Here is a 21,554-nt window from a genome sequence, read left to right on the forward strand (position 1 = left end):
GTAACTTCAGGTAAGTTATTTAACCACTATGTGATTCAACTATAGCAACTGCAAAATAAGGATACTTTAAGTACCTAGTTCAAGTCATTGCTTTGAGGATGACATAATTCACAGAAAACACTTATACTATGCTTGGAAGGCAGTGTACATGTTCTGTAAGTGTTACCTGTTTTCAGTAGTATGCTAGAGCCAACTCATAACAACTTGAGAGTGGACTGTTGAATTTTCACAATTGTGTTAGCCAATTGTTAAGCAAAGCCTTCATTAAAAATTAAATTACATCAGCCTTCAATTAAATAAATTACACCAACAACAAAGATAATAAATATTCAAAACTCATCACTTAACTAATTTCTTTACATTTGCTATTATCTTTACACGAGTTTGTTTACATCTAGTCCATCTGTATAGTGGAAATATTGTATGATATAGATATGCTACTGCATATCTCTTCCCAACTCTGCACGCAGTGACATCAACTTGGTCACCCGAAATCAGCCATAGTAAAAGTATTCACACCAGAAAATGAAAAACTGCTATAAAATCAAGAGTTTTTCCCCAAATAGCTGGTTGCCAAATACTTACCAGTACATTACTGCCTATTATTATAGTGATTATTACAAGTTATCTCTAATTTCTTTTACTTTTAGTTTCTTTTTCACAGAAAAAAAAAAGGATGACAAATCTAAATGTTAGTTATCTTTACTTCTTCTCCCTATACGTTGCTGTGTATACAAACTTGACTGCCAAGCTGAGGTTCCCTTTCAAAAATGTGTCCCTAAAGGACCACATACCTTTGCCTACAATTACACCAGACAGAGGCCTTGCCTTTCCAAACTGCCAAGGCCCAACAGATTCAGTATTCTTTTAAAATAACACGGCTAATCTGCCATGCTTCAATATGGAGGCCACCTTAAGGAGATAAAAGCTAAGTGCCAAACTGTCATCAGATACAGTCCACACATCTCTTAAAATTGTTTTGACCTTCTGACATTACTTAGCAACTCAAGTCAATATCAAACAGGCCCACAGTCACTCTAGCTGAAACACAAATATTAACTTTCAAAATAATGGTCAGGTACTCCAATTACTCACTGCATGTCTTCTGTTGGGATCTAGTGCAATACATGGCATAAATAATGTGTTCAAAGGGATCAGCTAAGTACTTCGATTCATGTCAAATTCGTGGCAATGTTTACACAGCACAGAATGAAGCTTGCAAGGAAGCAAGCTGGCTGGGCCCTCAAGACTCACCCTATGTGTTCAGGACCAGGAGGTAGAAGTATACTGCATATGTCTGGGGGCTTAAAGAGTACAAGGACTTTCTCTGGGCAGCATGATTAAGTGGAAAAAGCATTAAACCAGAAATGAGAATAACTGGGCTCCAGCTCCAACTCTAGTACTAACTAGTTCTATGAGCTGAATATCTCTGAACCTAATTCTTCTCAGAAATAAAATGCAGGAGCTAAATTATACAATCTTGGCATTATGATTCTGCCCTATTATCATTCAGAATAAATGTACTGTCACTACAAAAAGAATCTTTCCTCTCTGACTGCCCTATGAAAACAGTTTTACTAAACTGATCCAAATTTAAATATCACATAGGAACATTCACATTAGTAGGAAAATATAGAAATCTGACCTATCATGTCTTAATTATCCAGCTATGACCCAACTTTAATATTTTTAGGGTTAGCTTAACACAAAGGCAAATACATGAACTCAGACTAGACTTTTTTCCCTGCTATACCATCACCAAGCTCAGTCCAGAGCTTCCATCCAAGTCTTCCATCAAAGACTTTCATCAAAGTCTTTAATATGCACTTTATCCACGTTTATTAAGAGAGATGTGGATAGAGAGTATATTAAAGACTTTGCGGATTATAAGCCCACAACATTTCTATAGTCTATCTAATTCTAAAGAAAATTCATGCAAATTTTATGTACATGTGAATTTTATTTAAAGAGAAAAGGAGGACATTCTACCTCTGAGCATGATACTGACAGAGACGGGATTTATTCTCCACTGTAAATAACTAAATATACAGACACAAATTTATGAAATCACAGTTTTGGGGCAATAAACAACACGCAGCACAGGGGAGTGTCATCTCTGAGAAAAGAGAAATAGACAAGGTGAGTCCTACTATTACCCTCAGCTTACTGCCTGGAGAGTTTCCAGGATATGGTACAGGAAGAAGAAACCAGGGAGGGGATGGGACGCAGGGGGAGGCAGCAGTTCTCCCTCAGGTGAAGAGACAGTTCATCTGAGGAGGTCAAGACAACTAGAATTTGCAGAGCAGAGAACCAAAAGAGACTGCACAAAAGCAAATCCCAGAGATCTGCAAGGGGTTGCATTCTTACCTGAGTACCATGTATATGTGTGTAAAGAAACTGTATGAAGCCAGGTGAAGAACCATCAGAAAGGAGTAGGCAGAATCAAGAGTATTGCCTCTGAAGTAAAAAGTAAAAGTTCACAGCAACAAAAATTTCCCAGATCCTCAAATAAATCATTAAAATGATAGAATAGGTAACATTAAATTTCCTGTTACCTGAAGTTGCTATATATGTGCTGACCCTAGCAGTATACCTCTAGACCTTTTATATTTAGAGGTTCTAGAACTATATACAGCCACTTTAAAAAAAAAGCTACACTATTATTTATTTATTTTTATTTTATTTTATTTATTTATTTTTTTTTTGAGAAGGAGTCTCGTTCTGTCACCCAGGCTGGAGTGCAGTGGCGCAATCTTGGCTCACTGCAACCTCCGAATCCCGTGTTCAAGGAGAATCCTCCTGCCTCAGCCTCCCGAGTAGCTGGGACTACAGGTGCCCGCTACCAAGCCTGGCTAATTTTTTTTGTATTTTTAGTAGAGACATGATTTCACCACGTTGGCCAGGCTGGTGTCCAACTCCTGGCCTCAAGTGATCCACCTGCCTCGACCTCCCAAAGTGCTGGGATTACAGGTGGTGAGCCTACACTATCTCTAAAGTAAACAAAGAACACCCTGGGACAACACTATTCTCTGAGTTCCCAACAAATTTCTAAGTAAGTCTGTCCGTGAATTTTGCCATTGTTGTCTAAAGGCACACTCCTATTCTGAGCCTCCCCTCAGTATTTTTGTTCCACATGTTCCAGCACTATGTTACTTTTATCTAAATTGCATCTTTTCTCTCTAGAATTTTGTCCTTCACTATGGCAACAGTTCATTTTGCCTATCTTCCACGTAAAGAAATTATGTAGCATGAAATAAGGAAATGTGTATAATTTTTTTTTGTTTTTTTTGAGACAGAGTCTCGCTCTATTGGCAGGCTGGAGTGCAGTGCCGCAATCTCAGCTCACTGCAATCTCCGCCTCCCGGATTCAAGCAATTCTCCTGCCTCAGCCTCCCTAGTAGCTGGGACTACAGGTGCACGCCACCACACCCAGCTCATTTTTGTATTTTTATTAGAGACGGGGTTTCAACATGTTGGCCAGGATGGTCTCGATCTCTTGACCTTGTGATCCGCCCACCTCGGCCTTCCAAAGTGCTGGGATTACAGGGGTGAGCCACCACACCTGGCCTGTATAATTCTTGAAAATTACAAAACTTACTTCAAACTTCATCTGCTTGGCAGTTTTTAAATTGCTGGGAGAAAATTAGTGAAGGTAGTGTACTTGACTGGAACTATTATCTAGAGTTAGCTTGGTTAAGAAACTGAATTCAGAAAATCTTAAAAGCCCAAAACCTGCAGTAGAAATTCATTCAACCTTTTTAGAAAAAATAATTATTGAGTATTTACAATATGCCAAGCACCATGATAAGCAGCAGAAGTATTAAAAAGACTTACATAAAAAATATCCTCTGCCTCTGCCTCTGCCTCTCCCCACGGTCTCCCTCTCCCTCTCTTTCCACGGTCTCCCTCTGATGCCGAGTCGAAGCTGGACTGTACTGCTGCCATCTCGGCTCACTGCAACCTCCCTGCCTGATTCTCCTGCCTCAGCCTGCCGAGTGCCTGCGATTGCAGGCGCGCGCCGCCACGCCTGACTGGTTTTCGTATTTTTTTGGTGGAGACAGGGTTTCGCTTTGTTGGCCGGGCTGGTCTCCAGCTCCTAACCGCGAGTGATCCGCCAGCCTCGGCCTCTCGAGGTGCCGGGATTGCAGACGGAGTCTCGTTCACTCAGTGCTCAATGGTACCCAGGCTGGAATGCAGTGGCGTGATCTCGGCTCGCTACAACCACCTCCCAGCCGCCTGCCTTGGCCTCCCAAAGAGCCGAGATTGCAGCCTCTGCCCGGCTGCCACCCCGTCTGGGAAGTGAGGAGCGTCTCTGCCTGGCTGCCCATCGTCTGGGATGTGAGGAGACCCTCTCCCTGGCTGCCCAGTCTGGAAAGTGAGGAGCGTCTCTGCCCGGCCACCATCCCATCTAGGAAATGAGGAGCGTCTCTGCCCGGCCGCCCATCGTCTGAGATGTGGGAAGCGCCTCTGCCCCGCTGCCCCGTCTGGGATGTGAGGAGCGCCTCTGACCGGCCGCGACCCCGTCTGGGAGGTGAGGAGCGTCTGTGCCCAGCCGCCCCATCTGAGAAGTGAGGAGACCCTCTGCCTGGCAACCACCCCGTCTGAGAAGTGAGGAGTCCCTCCGCCCGGCAGCTGCCCCGTCTGAGAAGTGAGGAGCCCCTCCGTCCGGCAGCCGCCCCGTCTGAGAAGTGAGGAGCGTCTCCGCCCCGCAGCCACCCCGTCCGGGAGGGAGGTGGGGGGGTCAGCCCCCCGCCCGGCCAGCCGCCCCGTCCGGGAGGTGAGGGGTGCCTCTGCCCGGCCGCCCCTACTGGGAAGTGAGGAGCCCCTCTGCCCGGCCACCACCTGGTCTGGGAGGTGTACCCAACAGCTCATTGAGAACGGGCCATGATGACAATGGCGGTTTTGTGGAATAGAAAGGGCGGAAAGGTGGGGAAAAGATTGAGAAATCGGATGGTTGCCGTGTCTGTGTAGAAAGAAGTAGACATGGGAGACTTTTCATTTTGTTCTGTACTAAGAAAAATTCTTCTGCCTTGGGATCCTGTTGATCTGTGACCTTACCCCCAACCCTGTGCTCTCTGAAACATGTGCTGTGTCCACTCAGGGTTAAATGGATTAAGGGCGGTGCAAGATGTGCTTTGTTAAACAGATGCTTGAAGGCAGCATGCTCGTTAAGAGTCATCACCACTCCCTAATCTCAAGTACCCAGGGACACAAACACTGCAGAAGGCCGCAGGGTCCTCTGCCTAGGAAAACCAGAGACCTTTGTTCACTTGTTTATCTGCTGACCTTCCCTCCACTATTGTCCTATGACCCTGCCAAATCCCCCTCTCTGGGAAACACCCAAGAATGATCAATAAATACTAAAAAAAAAAAAAAAAAAAAAAAATTTCTGTAGTTTTCTAACTTGCTTTTGCAAATATCAAAAGTATTCTATCTTCTGTTTTTATAAACAAATATGCAACTTGCTTTTCTCTAATCTCCCTACTATTTCCATATCATCTCTTAGTATCAGGTATTTCCTGACAACTGTGGGGTTAATTTCTATTACAATTCGCAGAAAAAGAAGTTGTACTATATAGGACTAAAACTTCTTGATCCCTACTGTCAGATAATTAAAACTGTGAAACAAGATAATGGGTACAGAACACACTGGGCTCACCAGGTAAAGGGTTTAAGAAAGTGGCTCTTAGAGTACTTCATTTGTACTGCATATACAGCACCTTAATTGTCCTGTGACAAACCATGCTGGTTTTCCCCAACAGACTGAGATCTCCTAAAGGAAAGCAACATCATCTTTTTTCATCTTTGTATATGTCATGGCACTCAATAACACTATATATAATTTATTAAATAAATGAATGAAAAAAGTAAAGTTAGATAAGAAACAAAACAAACGGATCCTTTGGCTTAGGATGGCCCTTCTTAGGGACCAATATTACACATGTCTGAATTATGCAAGGCAGTGTCTTCTCATCCCACTGTACTTTGCCTAGAAAGACAGCCTGCAAGTGTATGATCAAATCAGACACTGAAAATAATAGCTAGGGCCATAATGGCCCACCTCAGCCATAAATGACCACACAAACAATAAGTCTATAAATTGTTTATGAAAGTACCAGATGGTCTATTAAGTCAATGTCACTTAATACCCACAATGTTGCTTATAAATTATACCTGTCAGAATCACATGGAAGAAGCTTTTCTCAAAAACTGGCAATATTTTATATGCATGAAAATATTTAATAATTTTATTATTTTAAACTTTCTACTTTATTTGTGGTGGTATTTATATTTATTATAGAAGTAATAAATATGTTTTAAAATGTCAAATTCAGAGATGAAAAGAAAACTTGTTCTTGAGAGCTAACCACTCTTAAGTTTGGTTTCTCTATTTTCATAGCTCTCTCTGTTTGCATATAGAATTTTTTTCTTTTTTTACAAGAAAGCCAAACACATAATCATGTGCCTTTTAATTTTCCTTTAAACTACATGGCAGAGATATTAGAAGTCAATATTTAGAGATTTAATTCATATTACTTATTAGTTGCTTAACATTTGAATATCAAAATTTATTCAACTATTCCCTATTCCTGGTCATTCAGGATGTTTCCAGTATTCTGCTATTACAAACAATGTCACGATAAATATCTTTGCACTTAAATTCTACCCACAGGAAAGATTCTGAAATACTGCTGGGTCAAGGAGTAGATGTGTCTTCAGCAGCATCCTTTCTCCAAAGACAGTAACAAGTCACATTCTCAAAAGCAGTGCACGAGAGCACTGTTTCCCCATGTTCTTGCCAGTGCTGGATGTTATAATAAGTGCTTTTAGAAGACTGTAACAAGAAAAGTAGTTTCTAACTTTAAAAAAACTACTCCTAGTTTTTTAAAAAATCCTTTAAATCTCTCTTAGGCTTGCCCACTGTCAAAAATGTATCTCCGATTAACTAATGGCCTGTGCTATAGAAATTCACTTGTCAGTTCCAAACGACCAACTTATAACACATTTTCTCTTAAAAATGCTGTTTAAGTAAAGGTTAGGTCATCCAGGCTAATGTACAACTACATTTTTAATTTAAAAAATGGTAAAACAGGGCCGGGCGCGGTGGCTCTCGCCTGTAATCCCAGCACTTTGGGAGGCCGAGGCGGGTGGATCACCAGGTCAAGAGTTTGAGACCAGCCTGACCAACATGGTGAAACCCCGTCTCTACTAAAAATACAAAAATAAGCCAGGCGTGGTGGTGTGTGCCTGCAATCCCAGCTACTCAGGAAGCTGAGAATCACTTGAACCCAGAAGGCGGAGGTTGCAGTCACCTGAGATCGTGCCACTGCACTCCAGCCTGGGCAACAGAGTGAGACTCCGTCTCAAAAAAAAAAAAAAAAAAAAAGGTAAAACAATAGCAACAATATTATCAATGTAAAACATATATTGACATTTTGTAGTCAATCTAGAATAAAAATTGAATATAGAACGGTGGAGCTATAAAAAGTATATTTAATAAACTGTAGGCATGTTTATATTAGAATCACACTTTCCAAATCACATCCTTCCCAACCATGCATTTACCTGCTGTTAGCATAGAGGGAACTGAGGACACCAGGACAGCCAGAAGAAATAGAACTAAGCAGGGGCGGAAGAGTTGGGGGGAATGTAAAATATATGTGTGGAGACCCAAATGATAAGAAACGGAGTTGGGCTACCATTCATCTAAAAGCTTCTGTCTCCCAAACTCTCAGAAACAGCAGGAGATACATTCCCTTTCCCTTTTTCACTGTACTTTTCCTTCTTTGTACCCCACCCCCACACACATACACAGAGACCCACCATATGCCCATTTGAGGTGAGATCAAATCAAACCTTTCATGCCTTCCACTGATGCTCCTACTCTCTAGCTGTGTTAGAACTGATGCATGTAGCATCACATTCTCCTTTATTCACTCCTGATCCAGAGCACATGGGAAGGATCCAGATCCAGCATACTCTCAAAATGCAGGCCATGGGGAGGGGTGATGGCTGAGGTGGTCAGTGGCCTAGATCTGCCTCCCCGGAGCCTGGATCTTATAGTTAACTAGGAAACAGCCAGAGAGCAACACACTAATCCAAGAGCAGCAGCCAAATTTTCATCCAACTCTTCAAGGTGGGAAATATTTTAGTTCCATGTTATAATGCCGATTTATATTAGTCTGAATATATTTCTTAAAGCCCCAGAACACTGATAGCCTGCTGCATGCAATGTACTATCACCAACATAATGCAAGGCCCTAAAATACAGAAACATCAATGGTAACACTGAAACCTCAGCATTCCTCTTATTGCATGTAAAGAATAACACTGATATCACTACTTCTGTCTTTGCTATTGCTTCACTTTTTCCACTCATTTCTTCTAGATTCTTGCCCTTACTTTTCATTAACTTGGATATAGCCAGTGAAAGCAGCTTCTATACACCAGTAAGAAACAAAGGAGACTGAGCAATGTGAAGAACTAATAATCAGGAGACCTTAGTTTAGAGCTTGCTTTTTCCTTTACTGACCCTCCTTTTCTGGACTTTAGTTTTCTTGAGGATAAAATGAAATAAGTGAAAATCAGCATACTCAATGTTTACATCTTTTCCCTACAGGCAATGGTAATTCTCAAAGGCTGGGCAGGTGGGAGAGCAGAATCAGGGTTACAAACAGAACTACCCAAGAGTAGTTCTATAGTTCTGTACCCTATATTATCCTATAGTTCTGTTAATGGGGAGGAGGGGAAGGGTAGAATAAGAGAAGGGAAAAACAAATCTAGAAAGCTTCACTAATCCCCCAGAATGAAGCCACTTCAAAGCTGAAGACCACAGTCCCTAGTCTTGAAGCTGTAGTTCCCCCAAGACTCAGAACACTGGTTTAAAAATCTTGGAGAAAGAAATGGCCAACCAGAAATAGCTTGTTCAAGTTCACTGCTAAAGTGGAATTAAAAGTACTATGAAAAAAATCTTCCATTAACTGGAAATGGAAAAAGGAGCCTTGGAGGGGACAACATTTAGGCCTTTCCTGAAAACTGCATGTATATGGTGATCACTTAGCCAAACACAAAAGAAATACTGACCTAGACATGCAAGAACAACACATAGTGACAAAATAGGTAACTTTAAAACTTCTCAAAAGAGGCCATTTGCACACACTTAAAGTTTACATATCATTAATACATGTAATGAGAGTAAAAACACTTTTAAAAGTGTGAGTTTCTTCCAAAGTTTGACTTGGCAATGTTACAGATAAATCTAATGCCCCAAAGTACTCCTTGATTGAATACCATTAATAAATAATACAGTCTTGAAGCCTAGCACAAGTAATGAAATACAAATGCAATAAATGATTGCAAACTATATCAAAAGGCTGGAAGGCATTTTAAAAGGGTTTTCAAATGGAATCAATAGTAGTTTCTACAAAAAATTAAAACCATGAATGTGGTGATCATTTCCAAAATAATAAATGAGATGTATGCCATAAACAATGGAAAGTATGTCAGAAAATGATGTCAAAAGTAACCAGATCATATCAGTATGAAGTGATACATTCAAAACTCTTTTTAAAAATATAAAAGACCATTAATTTTTTTATGTCTAGCACCCCAAGAATCTAAAATAGTTGCTGGCACACAAGAAACACTCAAGAAATAAATAAATAATGAAGTAATTAATTAAGGCAGGTATAACAGGATGATAAAGAACCTTGGCAATCATTCATTTTCATGTATAAGCCATCCAAAACTAGCTACTTAGCATGAGTTAGGAATGAAAATCAGGTCTCCTCAGTACTAGTAGTTGCTTCCTTTATTGTTGAATTTCTAAAATTCATAGTGATTAGAATTTCTTAATTGGATATATAACTCAAGAATCTACTTAATCATGAACTAGGCACTATCTTATAAATATTTAATTGCTAATTGGTTTATGTCACCCATATGACTTCTTTCTTATCTTGAAAAACTGTGTTTCTGAAGCTTGTAATTACATGGAAAAATACCAATGTAATAATATTAACCAAAAACTGTCAGGATACAAAACTGCTTAAATGTTTCATCAGACTGTTTACCACACATTGTGCATTGTCATGAAAATGGTTTGAAATGATATTTCATGGCATTAAAAAATGCTGTGATATATTAAGTGCATCTGCAGGATATGGAACTGTACACGCAGTAGTCCCAATTTTTAAATGTTATATATTATGGAGAAAAAAGAAATGGAAAAGGACATATGTCATAAAATTAACGTATATAGGTAATTGAATTACAGATTTTTACTCATTTTGTCTACTTTTGTCCACTTCTTTATTTTCCAAAAATGTTACCAAGTATATGTCATAAGTTTTCTTTCCATATTTTCCCCAAGTACTTACATGGTTCCTCCTTTGTCACTGAGTACTACAGAAATTACATCTTTAGTCAACAGGATAGTTTTTCTGTCTAAATGTACAACCCTCTAATTTTAAGAGCCACTTCAATTAACAACGAAAGCAAGAGATAATAATGGAGTTTTTCCCTCAAGTAACTAAATCCTCTACAGTCAGCAACAGAACTTTTCACCAAAGTTTATGGACGTGGTAGCCCAAAACCACATTAAACAAAAGGTAAGCCATACTTCTTCCTAACTATGGACTGTAATTCCAGAACAACAGCAATATTCAACTGCTGTTTACTTAAACAGAGACTATTACTTCTCACCACATATATTACCTATAGTCCACATTATTAATGATAACTTTGACTGCATATAAGGATGAGCCACAATTACCTACAGTATGGTGTTCTCTAGACTGGCTATCAGAAGACCAGAATTCTAGCCCCAGTCCACCACCTAGTCAATGCAATCATGGAAGCCTGATTTCCTTGCCTATAAAATAAGGGCACTGGCACTTATGTTACCCATCTCAGAGAATTGTTATAAGAATCAAATTGTATCATATATGTAAAAAAAAGTATAAAGTGCTAAAATTATTATGATCATCAATCTAATTGAGAGTTTCCTACACCATATTAAGAGTGTCACATCCAATCTTTACATTTGCTGAGCCATGGCTAAAACTTATTTCTCAGTACTAAACCCTCAGGTTTCATAACATATGTATGATAAAGCAGAGTTCTTAAAAATGGAGGATAAAATCTTCAACTCAACACCGGTTATGTATAAGCAAAATCTATCTTGTTTATATTAAAGTAGTAATTCAATTTTGTGATAATACTTTTCCTAGAATGCAAAAGGTGAAATGCAAGGTCAGATTGTCCAAATGACATGGTAAAACCAAGAAAAATCTCTGTCTGCACCATCCACCCACACATAACACAAAGCCTCTCCCTTCCCCAGCTCCCACTGAAATTCTGCCTTCCTTCAAATGCCAGCCCTGCTTGTGAAACCCCTGGATGCTCGTATCACTCCTCTTGTGTAGCACTCACATATAATGAGTGTAGCTGGTCCACTTTCGTCACCAAACTCTGCTCTTTGAGAGGCTACAAACCTGTGTTCCTCTTCCTTCTGTAGGCCCTGATTCCTTAGCATATTTTAATGTATAGGATCAATAAGTATTTGGAATTAAACCACATGTTCCAAACTGGTGAAGATCTGCTTCTCCCGGTTCTAAATCCTTCATCTCTTCCCAGTTTTTCCAGGGAAAGACTGAGTACAAAATACGATGGGTATGAGGGAATAGAGAATATACTAGATGGTAATGTGTTCACTTGAAGCATATGATCAATTAATTTCTGACTAGAAATATGAGAAAGGTTGGGAACAATGCTGCTTGAATGCTTTCAAAAAATGCTAATTATAAAAGTATTTCATTCCATTTACAGTATTTTACTTCTACTGAAGCACAAATTTAAATTTCTATATAGTTTTCTAAATGGAAAGGGATATATAAGTACAGGTCTTTTTCCACAAGAAAACTAAAGCATCCTTGCATCTTGCTTTCTGTAATTTAGAATCCTTCAGTCCTGCTTTAGACCTTCCAAAAAGGTTCAAAGAAAAAGTATAAAGACTACACATTATCTATAGTAGTTAAATTGTTAGAGCTTCTGAGATTGTTTAAAGGACACTGACATATTTTGGCCAAATCCCATCCTGAATTTCCAGGTGTTGTGGGAGGGACCCAGTGGGAGGTAATCGAATCATGGGGGCAAGTCTTTTCCATGTTGTTCTTGTGAGTACTAGTAACTAGAACTTACTAGTTCTAGTAAGTCTCACGAGATTCTGATGGTTTTAAAAACAGGAGTTCCCCTGCACAAGTTCTTTCTCTTTGTCTGCTGCCATCCATGTAAGACGTGACTTGCCCCTCCTTGCCCTTCCTTGCCTTCCACCATGATTGTGAGGCTTCCCCAGCCATGTGGAACTGTAGGAACTGTAAGTCCAACCTCTTTATTTTGTAAATTGCCCAGTCTCTGGTATGTCTTTATCAGCAGTATGAAAACAGACTAATGCAGAGATAGTCAAATAACACTGCAAAAAAAAAAAAATGCCTCTATAGCACAAACTATTGCTTCAAGAGGTATAAAATTCATATTATATGCAAAATCAAACTCTTAATTTGAATCACTCCGCTTTTTATCTACTAAGTATTTTCAATATTCTTTTTTTGTTTTTGAGACAGAGTTTTGCTCTTATCGCCCAGGCTGGAGTGCAATGGCATGATCTCAGCTCACTGCAACCTCGGCCTCCCAGGTTCAAGTGATTCTCCTGCCGCAGCCTCCTGAGTAGCTGGGATTACAGGTGTCCACCACCACATCCAGCTAATTTTTGTATTTTTAGTAAAGATGGGGTTTCACATGTTGGCCAGGCTGGTCTCGAACTACTGACCTCAGGAGATCCACCTGCCTTGGCCTTCCAAAGTGCTGAGATTACAGGCATGAGCTACCATGCCCTGACTTATTTTCAACATTATCTAGTTTCTGTTACACAAATAAGGTTATCACAAGATCGCAAGACGAACAACCAAGTACTCCTTTAATCACTCTCTTTTTTCTAGCAAAGGCAGTCAATAGTGTTCCAGAATTCTAAACATTTAGGAACTACGACTCTTCTAAAATATGTTAACAGAAAAAAAGCAAATAATCTTGCTGTAACTCAACTCATGTTTTTAAAATCACATGTAATCATTTACGTGAAAGCACTGTCTTAACTCTAAGAGGCAACAGTGTGAAACTGTGTTTGTGGATACTGTATACATATAGCACTACATCCAGGCCATAATCAAATTACCATAACAAAACTTTCTCACTAACTACTTTCTTACTTACAAACTTTCCAACTCTACTTCTGATTACATTTTAAAAGAAGTAATTCAATATCCTAAGAGTTTTTAACTTTCACATGTTTTACAGGACATGGACTACTAATTTCAGTGTATGCTTAAAATAGAACAGTTCGACTAATTTTAGACTCAAGTGTTATAAAGCATCATAGCTGCCAACCAACTGGATACCTGAATTGCAGCTACAACAGCATATTAGATACACCAAAGCAAACTGTCAGATTGCTGAACTCAGAGTCACCACATACAACTCTATGAAGCAGATACAATAAATAACACACATAGCTAAAACAAAATAGTACTTAAGAATGCTATGACCATATAAAAGGAAATAATCAGGTCCTTATTTATTTAAATAATAGCTATAATATGCAGTGGCTCAAAGGTGTCAAAAGGAGGTAATGGTATAAAAAGGTTACTGATCATTTGCAAAACATATCTGATAAAGGACTGGTATCCAAAATATACAAAAAACTCCAAAACTCAACAATAAAAAAAAAAAAATTTAAAGTGGGCAAAAGGGCCAGACATGATGGCTCATACCTGTAAATCCCAGCACTTTAGAAAGCCAAGGCAGGAGGATCACTAGAGCCCAGGAATTCAAGACCAGCCTGGGCAACATAGCAAGACCCTGTCTCTATATAACATAAAAATATTAGCCCAACATGGTGGCACATGCCTGTAGTCCCAGATACTTGGGAGGCTGAGGCAGGAGGAGCTGCTGAGACACAAGTTCATGGTTACAGTGAGTTATGATTTTATCACTGCATCCAGTCTGGGTGACAGAGTGAGACCATGTCTCAAAATAAAAAATGCTTAAAAAGCGGGCAAAAGATCTGAACAGACACCTCACGAAAGGAAATACACAGATGACAAGCATATAAAAAGATACCAGCCAGGTGCGGTGGCTCATGCCTGTAATCCCAGCACTTTGGGAGGCCAAGGCGGGCAGATCACAAGGTCAGGAGTTTGAAACCAGCCTAACCAATATGGTGAAACTCCATCTCTACTAAAAATACAAAAATTAGCCAGGCGTGGTGGCGGATGCCTGTAATCCCAGCTACTCAGGAGGCTGAGGCAGGGGAATCACTTAAACCCAGGAGGCAGAGGTTGCAGTGAGCCAAGATCGTGCCTCTGCACTCCAGCCTGAGTGACAGTGCGAGACTCCAACTCCAAAAAAAAAAAGATATTTACATGATATGTCATTTAGGGAACTGCAAATTAAAACAATGAAATACCACCACGCACCTATCTGAAAGGCTAAAATACAAAACAGTGACAATACCAAATGCTGATAGGATGTGTAGCAACAGGAACTCTCATTCATTGCTGGTGGAAATGAAAAACAGTACACCCACTTTGGAAGTCAAGTTAGACAAGTTTCTCACAAAGCTAAACGTACCATACAATCTAGCAATCATACTCCTTTACACAAATGACTTGAAAACATGTCCACACAAAAATCTGCACTCAACTGTTTAGAGCAGTTGTATTCATAACTGTCAACCCTTAGGAGCAACCAAGATGTCCTTCAGTCGGTGAATGGATAAGTAAACTTGGTACTTCCAGACAATGAACTTAGCAATAAAAAGAGATGAGCTATCAAGCTATGAAAAGACATGGAGGAACTTTAAATGCATATTGCTAAGTAAAAGAAGCTAGTCAGAAAAGTCTATATACTGCAGGATTCCAACTATATGACATTCTGTAAAAACATAAAATATAGAGAGAGCAAAACGATCAGTGGTTGTCAGGGGTTCTGGAGCTGGAGAGGAACAAATAGGTCAAACACAGAGGATTTGGGAGCAGTGAAACTCTTCTGTATGATATTACAATAATAGACACATGATATTATGCATTTGTCAAAACCTATATAGAACTGTACAACAAAGGAAACCCTAATGTAAACTATTAATCTTGTAATCAACTACGTAATTGATGAATCAATTTATCAATATTGGTTCATCAATTCCAACAAATGTACCACACCAGTACCGATATAAATATGAGAAACTATGGGGGAGGAAGAGGGAGTATATGGGAACTATGTAGTTTCTGCTCAATTTTGCTATAAACCTAAAACTGCTCTAAAAAATAATGTGTGCATTTTTTAAAAGACTACTGGTGTAGGAAGAGCCACAGTACTTGAGTTCTTAGATCTACCTAATTCATTGACTACCTACATAATCTCTACTGCTCAGAATATTCCATATGCCCTATTTTATCCCGCCTTTATTAACCCAGTGTCTATCTACCTCACTAGACAAGTAGTAGTATTTCACACCAAAATCAAGAAAATACATCATTACACTGGCATGCCCAGCATGGAAAACCATAGCACTGAATACAGGGGCACTAGAACAATAGTATGTTTGTATAATATCTTTAATACCAGGGTTCACTGGGAAATATTTTCACCCACTAGAGTAAAATCAAGACTTTGTCAACGCTCTTTGACAATTCTTTCCAGGAAACATTTCAGGCATGTATCAAAGCAGTCACATTCATTGGTAACATTTACAAAAACAGTTCTTTTCAAAATCTTCTCGACCCAAATACACACTGGAAATGCTCATGTTAAAATTTTATTGTCTTTTTATAACTAATCATTAGAATTGATAATACAACTAAGACACAACAGTTTGACTTCCAAAATCTAATATTTGAATAAAAGTAATATCTATAAATGTATAAACTATTAACTTTAATTTCATGCATTTAACATATCTGAGAAAGTTGTAGTATTAATCAAAATCAGAATCTTAATAAATATATTTTCATAACTATTTCTGCAGTATCTCCCAGTCAATATAATGACACTAAAAATATATAGTTTAGGCCAAATATACATTTGATGTTCAAATGCCATTTCTACCACTATAGCTATGCGACTCTTTAAACTTACATATATACATAACATATATGTATTTCATATGCAATACCCAGCATCATGCCAGGCATATGAGTAGGTTGACATATAAATGGTAGTTACTGTTTTGCAATTTTAAATTAAAATTTAAGGCTTAATGCTCAAATTGTAGGGTAGCCGAGAACTTAAATGAACATAAAACCACTTAACTTTTTATACACCAAACCAAACTAACTCTACATATTTGCTGAAGTTTATGTAGAAAATAAACAAAGGGGCCGGGCGCGGTGGCTCACGCTTGTAATCCCAGCACTTTGGGAGGCCGAGGCGGGCGGATCACGAGGTCAGGAGATCGAGACCATCCTGGCTAACACGGTGAAACCCCGTCTCTACTAAAAATACAAAAAAATTAGCCGGGCGTGATGGCGGGCGCCTGTAGTCCCAGCTACTCGGGAGGCTGAGGCAGGAGAATGGCGTGAACCCGGGAGGCGGAGCTTGCAGTGAGCCAAGATTGCGCCACTGCACTCCCGCCTGGGCCACAGAGAGAGACTCCATCTCAAAAAAAAAAAAAGAAAGAAAAAAAGAAAATAAACAAAGAAAAAATTAAGATTTTTGAAATAAAAACAAATATTAAAAATTATTGAAATATATTGAAAGTTTTTTCACCATATATATTTACCTTTTAAAAGGATATGAATTCAATTATTTTATTTGCTTATGGAAAATAGATCCACTGCTCTAAGATGCTACTAATCATGCTCAGAGGATTCACAACAAACAGACTGATAAGGTATTACTTAAAGCGCTCTACATTAAATAGAGCATTCCAGTTTTCTAGGGCACACTACTTGCTGTATTTCCAAGGTCAAGCAAAATAGCTTTCGTTCCATTTAACTACCAAGAAAGGTCTAACTGTGATTAATAATAAAAATGTTTTAAAAACACCTTTTCTAATAAATACATACTACAAGTTTTTTAAAAACTTAAAAAGGAAACATTTCAAACTTTTTTGGACATAACTTCAACAACAAAAGTTGCTGCACCCGCCTCCTGTCCCCACATGCAGAACCAACTAATCGGCCATCCTGACAATTTCTGAAATTTCTCTTGAATCAGCCTTCCATTCCAACCACTATAATTTTACAGTACCCACCTAACCTGTTTCCCTGCCTGAGTCTTCCCTTCCACTCAGTCCTCCGCGCTGCTGCCAGAGTGCTCTTTCTAATATCTATCTAACTTCCTGCTGGGGATCATAAAGGGTCACCCTCACTGCCTAAAGAATAGGCACTCAAGATTGCTTTCAATCTGGTACAGCATAACCCTCCATCATTCATCCATATCCATCTTCCTACAAATTCTAACCAATCCTTTCCCTGAAACCTGCGGTGCACTTCAGCCAACGATCAAAATGATTTTGGCAATTATGTCAATGAAATGGAACAGTCATGCTAGTTTCTCCTCTTGGAGTTTTCCTCCCTGGTACTTTTCACCTTCTCACAGGGTGAAATCCCATTTGACCCCAAATACAAAGCTTTTCCCCAGCCTAAGCAGAATTATTTGCTTCTTCTTTTGGGAGAGATGAAGCAAGTCAGAAAACAAAAGCAAACAAAATTGCATTAAAGGACAAGCAGAAAAAAAAAATGAATAAGAAGGGGTCTCATTTGATCACTTACTGAAACAATGACATACTTCAGCAAATAATTACCTGAAATTCCTCCTTGGACATAGGTAGAATGTAATCCCTGAAATATTAAGAGCTAAGAAATGGACACAGAAGTCTTTCCTGTTTTTTATTCAAAGCCATTATAGAGAGACTTCCATGAAACAGAAGCATCTGTGTTTAGTTAATATGAAATAACAAACATTCGAAACTACAAATCATCTTTTCTTCCCAATTAGTCCACCAGGTCACATGATTTGGGTGTGTTCTTGTGCACTTTTATACTCAGTTGTGGAACTAAAACAGAAATGAACATGACAGCCTAGATATTCCATCTTGTTATCACCTCTATAGCTTCAGATATTTTCATAATCTCCAATTGCATGAAGATGCTTTGGTCAAATATTCCAGCTCCCCACAGAGCCAGGATCCTGAGGCACATATGACCCAACGGCAGAAATACAAGCACTTCTTTGTCAGACTACAAGATAGCAGTAAGACAATAAATTGTTTTCACCACCTGTCCTTACACTGATTACCTAAAAAGTTATTGAGCCAGAAAACAAGCATCTCCAAATTGTTCAAATACAAAACAAACAAACAACAACAAAAAAAAAACCTAGAAGTTTTAAAAAGCATAAGCCTTCTTTTTAAAGTCTCTGGGCTAAATAAATGTTGAGATAACTCTCTAAGAACAAAAGAAACTGAAAAGAGCATCAGTAGAAGTTTAAAATTAAATTCACTAACAATACCTAATAATTTCCCACATTTCTGAACTCATATACACTCCTTATTGTGTGAGGCAATAAACACAATTTAATCGTAATTATTTGGTGAGAATGACTTTTCAAACCCATGTTGTAACATAAAACATTCAAATGCGTCATTTTGAAAATACTAAGAAACCTCATGGTGCTCTCAGATCTTCTTCAAACTTTAGTGAAGTCAAATATATTGTGTGATGATTGTTAATATGTATCCAAATTTTAAGTTCCCAATTTTAGCACACTTTGCCCTCCATGTGCCAGACACTGCTGATTGCAAAACCAGTTGCCATTCTTTCCTTATTCTTTACAAACAAAACTTCAATTTTGTTCAGGGCACTAAATGAAGCCGGCTTAAAAATCTACATTTCCTAGTCTACCTGCAGATAGAGATGGCCCCTGGAACAGCTGTCCCCTGGAATGGAGATATAAGGGCTGGAAGAGGAGCAGCCATCTTGTGATCACAAAACAACCACAAGATACACTATAAATAGCCACACAGAAATAGAGGAGTCTGAGTCCCTACTGGCAAATGGGGGTACCCTACAACCCAGTTTTGCCTATTTAGGACTTCTCAGTACCTAAGAAAAAGAAAACACCTATTTGGCTAAGCAGTATCATTTGTTTTCTGTTACAAACAGTCAAACATAATCTTAACTAACACTCAGCAAATTCAACCTGTTTCACTTTTAAAAGAAAACAAAAATCCCAGACTTATACTATTATGACTAGCTATAATATTATCATGATGCAGCACAGTTAAAGTTCATTTATTATATAACTATTAACCTATGAACAGAGCATGAGCAGAAGAAATTTGAAATCAAGTTTTTTCAGAATCCTGGAAGCCAAATGAAAACCACTGAGCTAGATCATTACATGCTGCAGAGAAATTCCCTGAAACCTGTATACTCCAATTTTCAATTCAAGGGAGTGTCAGAGCCGATTTACAGAGTAAAATGACAGAATTTTTACTAATCACCTATCAATAAAGGCAATAAACCCGAACTGAAAATGAAAATTATGGTAATCTTCGTTCCTTTTGTCACCATGCACATAAGCAGATTTTATAGCCCTAATGAGAGAAGAAACTAAAGCAATTATACAAGGTATTTGTAAAAAACAGAGAAAACTTTGCCTATTGCCTAAACAGCAGTTTGCAGGGGGTGAGGGGGTGGAGTGGGGTTAGTGATATTACAGGTAAGTAACCAAAACGACCATTCCATGCAGCTTTCATAGAGAATGATAAATGCAACACTTTCATTACGGTTGTCTAGGTACAACGGATTTACTTCCAGATCAATAGAAAAATAACCCTTTTGGTGGAACAAAATAATGTAACATTTTAAAATTACATCTATAAGGTATAGAATGAAATGTATTGAATTCACATTATCTCATTTTCTCACTTAACATCATACTACAAAGTAACAATGTGTTGGGAAAACAAATATTCCAATGATAAACTCAAAAAGCAGAATTTCATAAGATGAGAACTAATTAATCATTTATAATAACAGCATATGGGTTAGTTTCCTTACACTTAAGAAAAAAAATAAGATACTACTGTATCTTTTAAGCTAAGCTACTAAGAATGTTTTGTATTACACGGTATATACACTGGATAATTTACTATAGATATAAAAGAAAGCCATTCTGATGTAGACAATTTCTAGCCTAAACAATAATAAAGAATTATGTTTTACTCAAAAATAAATGCCTTTATTCAGCCGAAGTTTGGTATCAGCTGAAGAAATATGTTTTTTTAATCAGATGTCCCTGAATATTCCATGAATATATTTTACAAGTAACAGGACTCGAATATGAATCAGAACACTGCACCCTTCTTTGTAGCAAATAGCTCTTTCTGTGTTATTCTAATTCAGCAAACAGTTGCCTATTTTTGCTCAGAAGTAATGGACCAAAACAAGATACAAGAATAGACTGACTACACCATAAATAATTAGCGCTCACTCTCCACTTTTCTTGTTTTTCTACAGAGTCTGATTTGAACTCCTCTCAAGGCTGTCTGAAGACTAGACCTAACAAAACTCTCGACTTCTAAATCTAATGCTCATAATTCCTAACATTATAGATTATTACAATTCTACATTTCTGACAACAGGCAGATTTTGAATTGGTTCCAGCTGACTCCACCACTTACACTACTCAACAGCTGAGGCATATGATAACTTGGCAACCTGATAATATTCTAGATGAATGCAAACTCATTCTGTAACCAAGGAACTCTGTCAGAAATAAAATCAAAATGACTTCCCTTTAAGTTTAAATGAGAACATAAAATGTTTTGAACAATGCATGATTTCAGAAAGTGAGCAACCGTACTCTGAACGTTTAGTGAACTGACACTCCCTATTCAAAGCCTACAATTCTTTTCTGATTAGATCAGTCCCCACAGCAAGTCACCAGGATAATAAGCAGTGTAGTGAAGTCATCATACTGGATACTGATGGGAAATCATAACTGGCTTCAAAACACATCGGGAAACAATGAGTTTTCCAGGTCTCCAGCTTTTCATGGAATACACTGCCCAATACTCTTACTTTCCTTTCCATGACTAAATGAAACATAGCACAGCTATAAAGCCCAAGTACAAATTGATGAACTAAGCATTTTAAAAACCTTAAGTAAAAATGAGGAAAACTCCCATCATTTTTTCAGTGACGTCTGAACAATATGTTTGAAAATGTATCTGTTTAAGGGCAATACTGATTGTTGTACACTGGCCTTCAGATCTTTAATTTCCTTTTATTTCCAAAGGCAAAGACAAGCTTTTAAACAATGCCTACTTCTTTTAGACAAAGTCAAATAAGCACTCGTTTTCAGTCACCTGAAATCACCCACGTGTCACTTAAGTAAAACTTCATGTGACAAAAATTCATTCAGCTATAATTTTTTTCAAAAGTATAAAATGTATCTACTTTAGAACTTTCAGATTTTTTTATTTCTGACTGTAT

General features: G+C 38.2%; 1 protein-coding gene across 9 annotated transcripts in view, besides 1 other annotated feature; it reads right to left on the minus strand.

Moving 5' to 3' along the window:
• The window catches only part of DST (dystonin), a 496,835-nt gene that overhangs the window by 362,145 nt on the left and 113,136 nt on the right, over positions 1-21,554 (minus strand). The window lies entirely within an intron of this gene.
• Positions 857-1,057: a silencer, noted in NCBI's record as "peak5861 fragment used in MPRA reporter construct". NCBI's record gives its function as "represses an SCP1 promoter by STARR-seq MPRAs in K562 erythroleukemia cells {active_cell/tissue: K562}" and the evidence as "EXISTENCE:reporter gene assay evidence [ECO:0000049][PMID:32103011]".

The sequence above is a fragment of the Homo sapiens genome, chromosome 6, assembly GCF_000001405.40.
Source record: "Homo sapiens chromosome 6, GRCh38.p14 Primary Assembly".
NCBI classification, from domain to species: domain Eukaryota; kingdom Metazoa; phylum Chordata; class Mammalia; order Primates; family Hominidae; genus Homo; species Homo sapiens.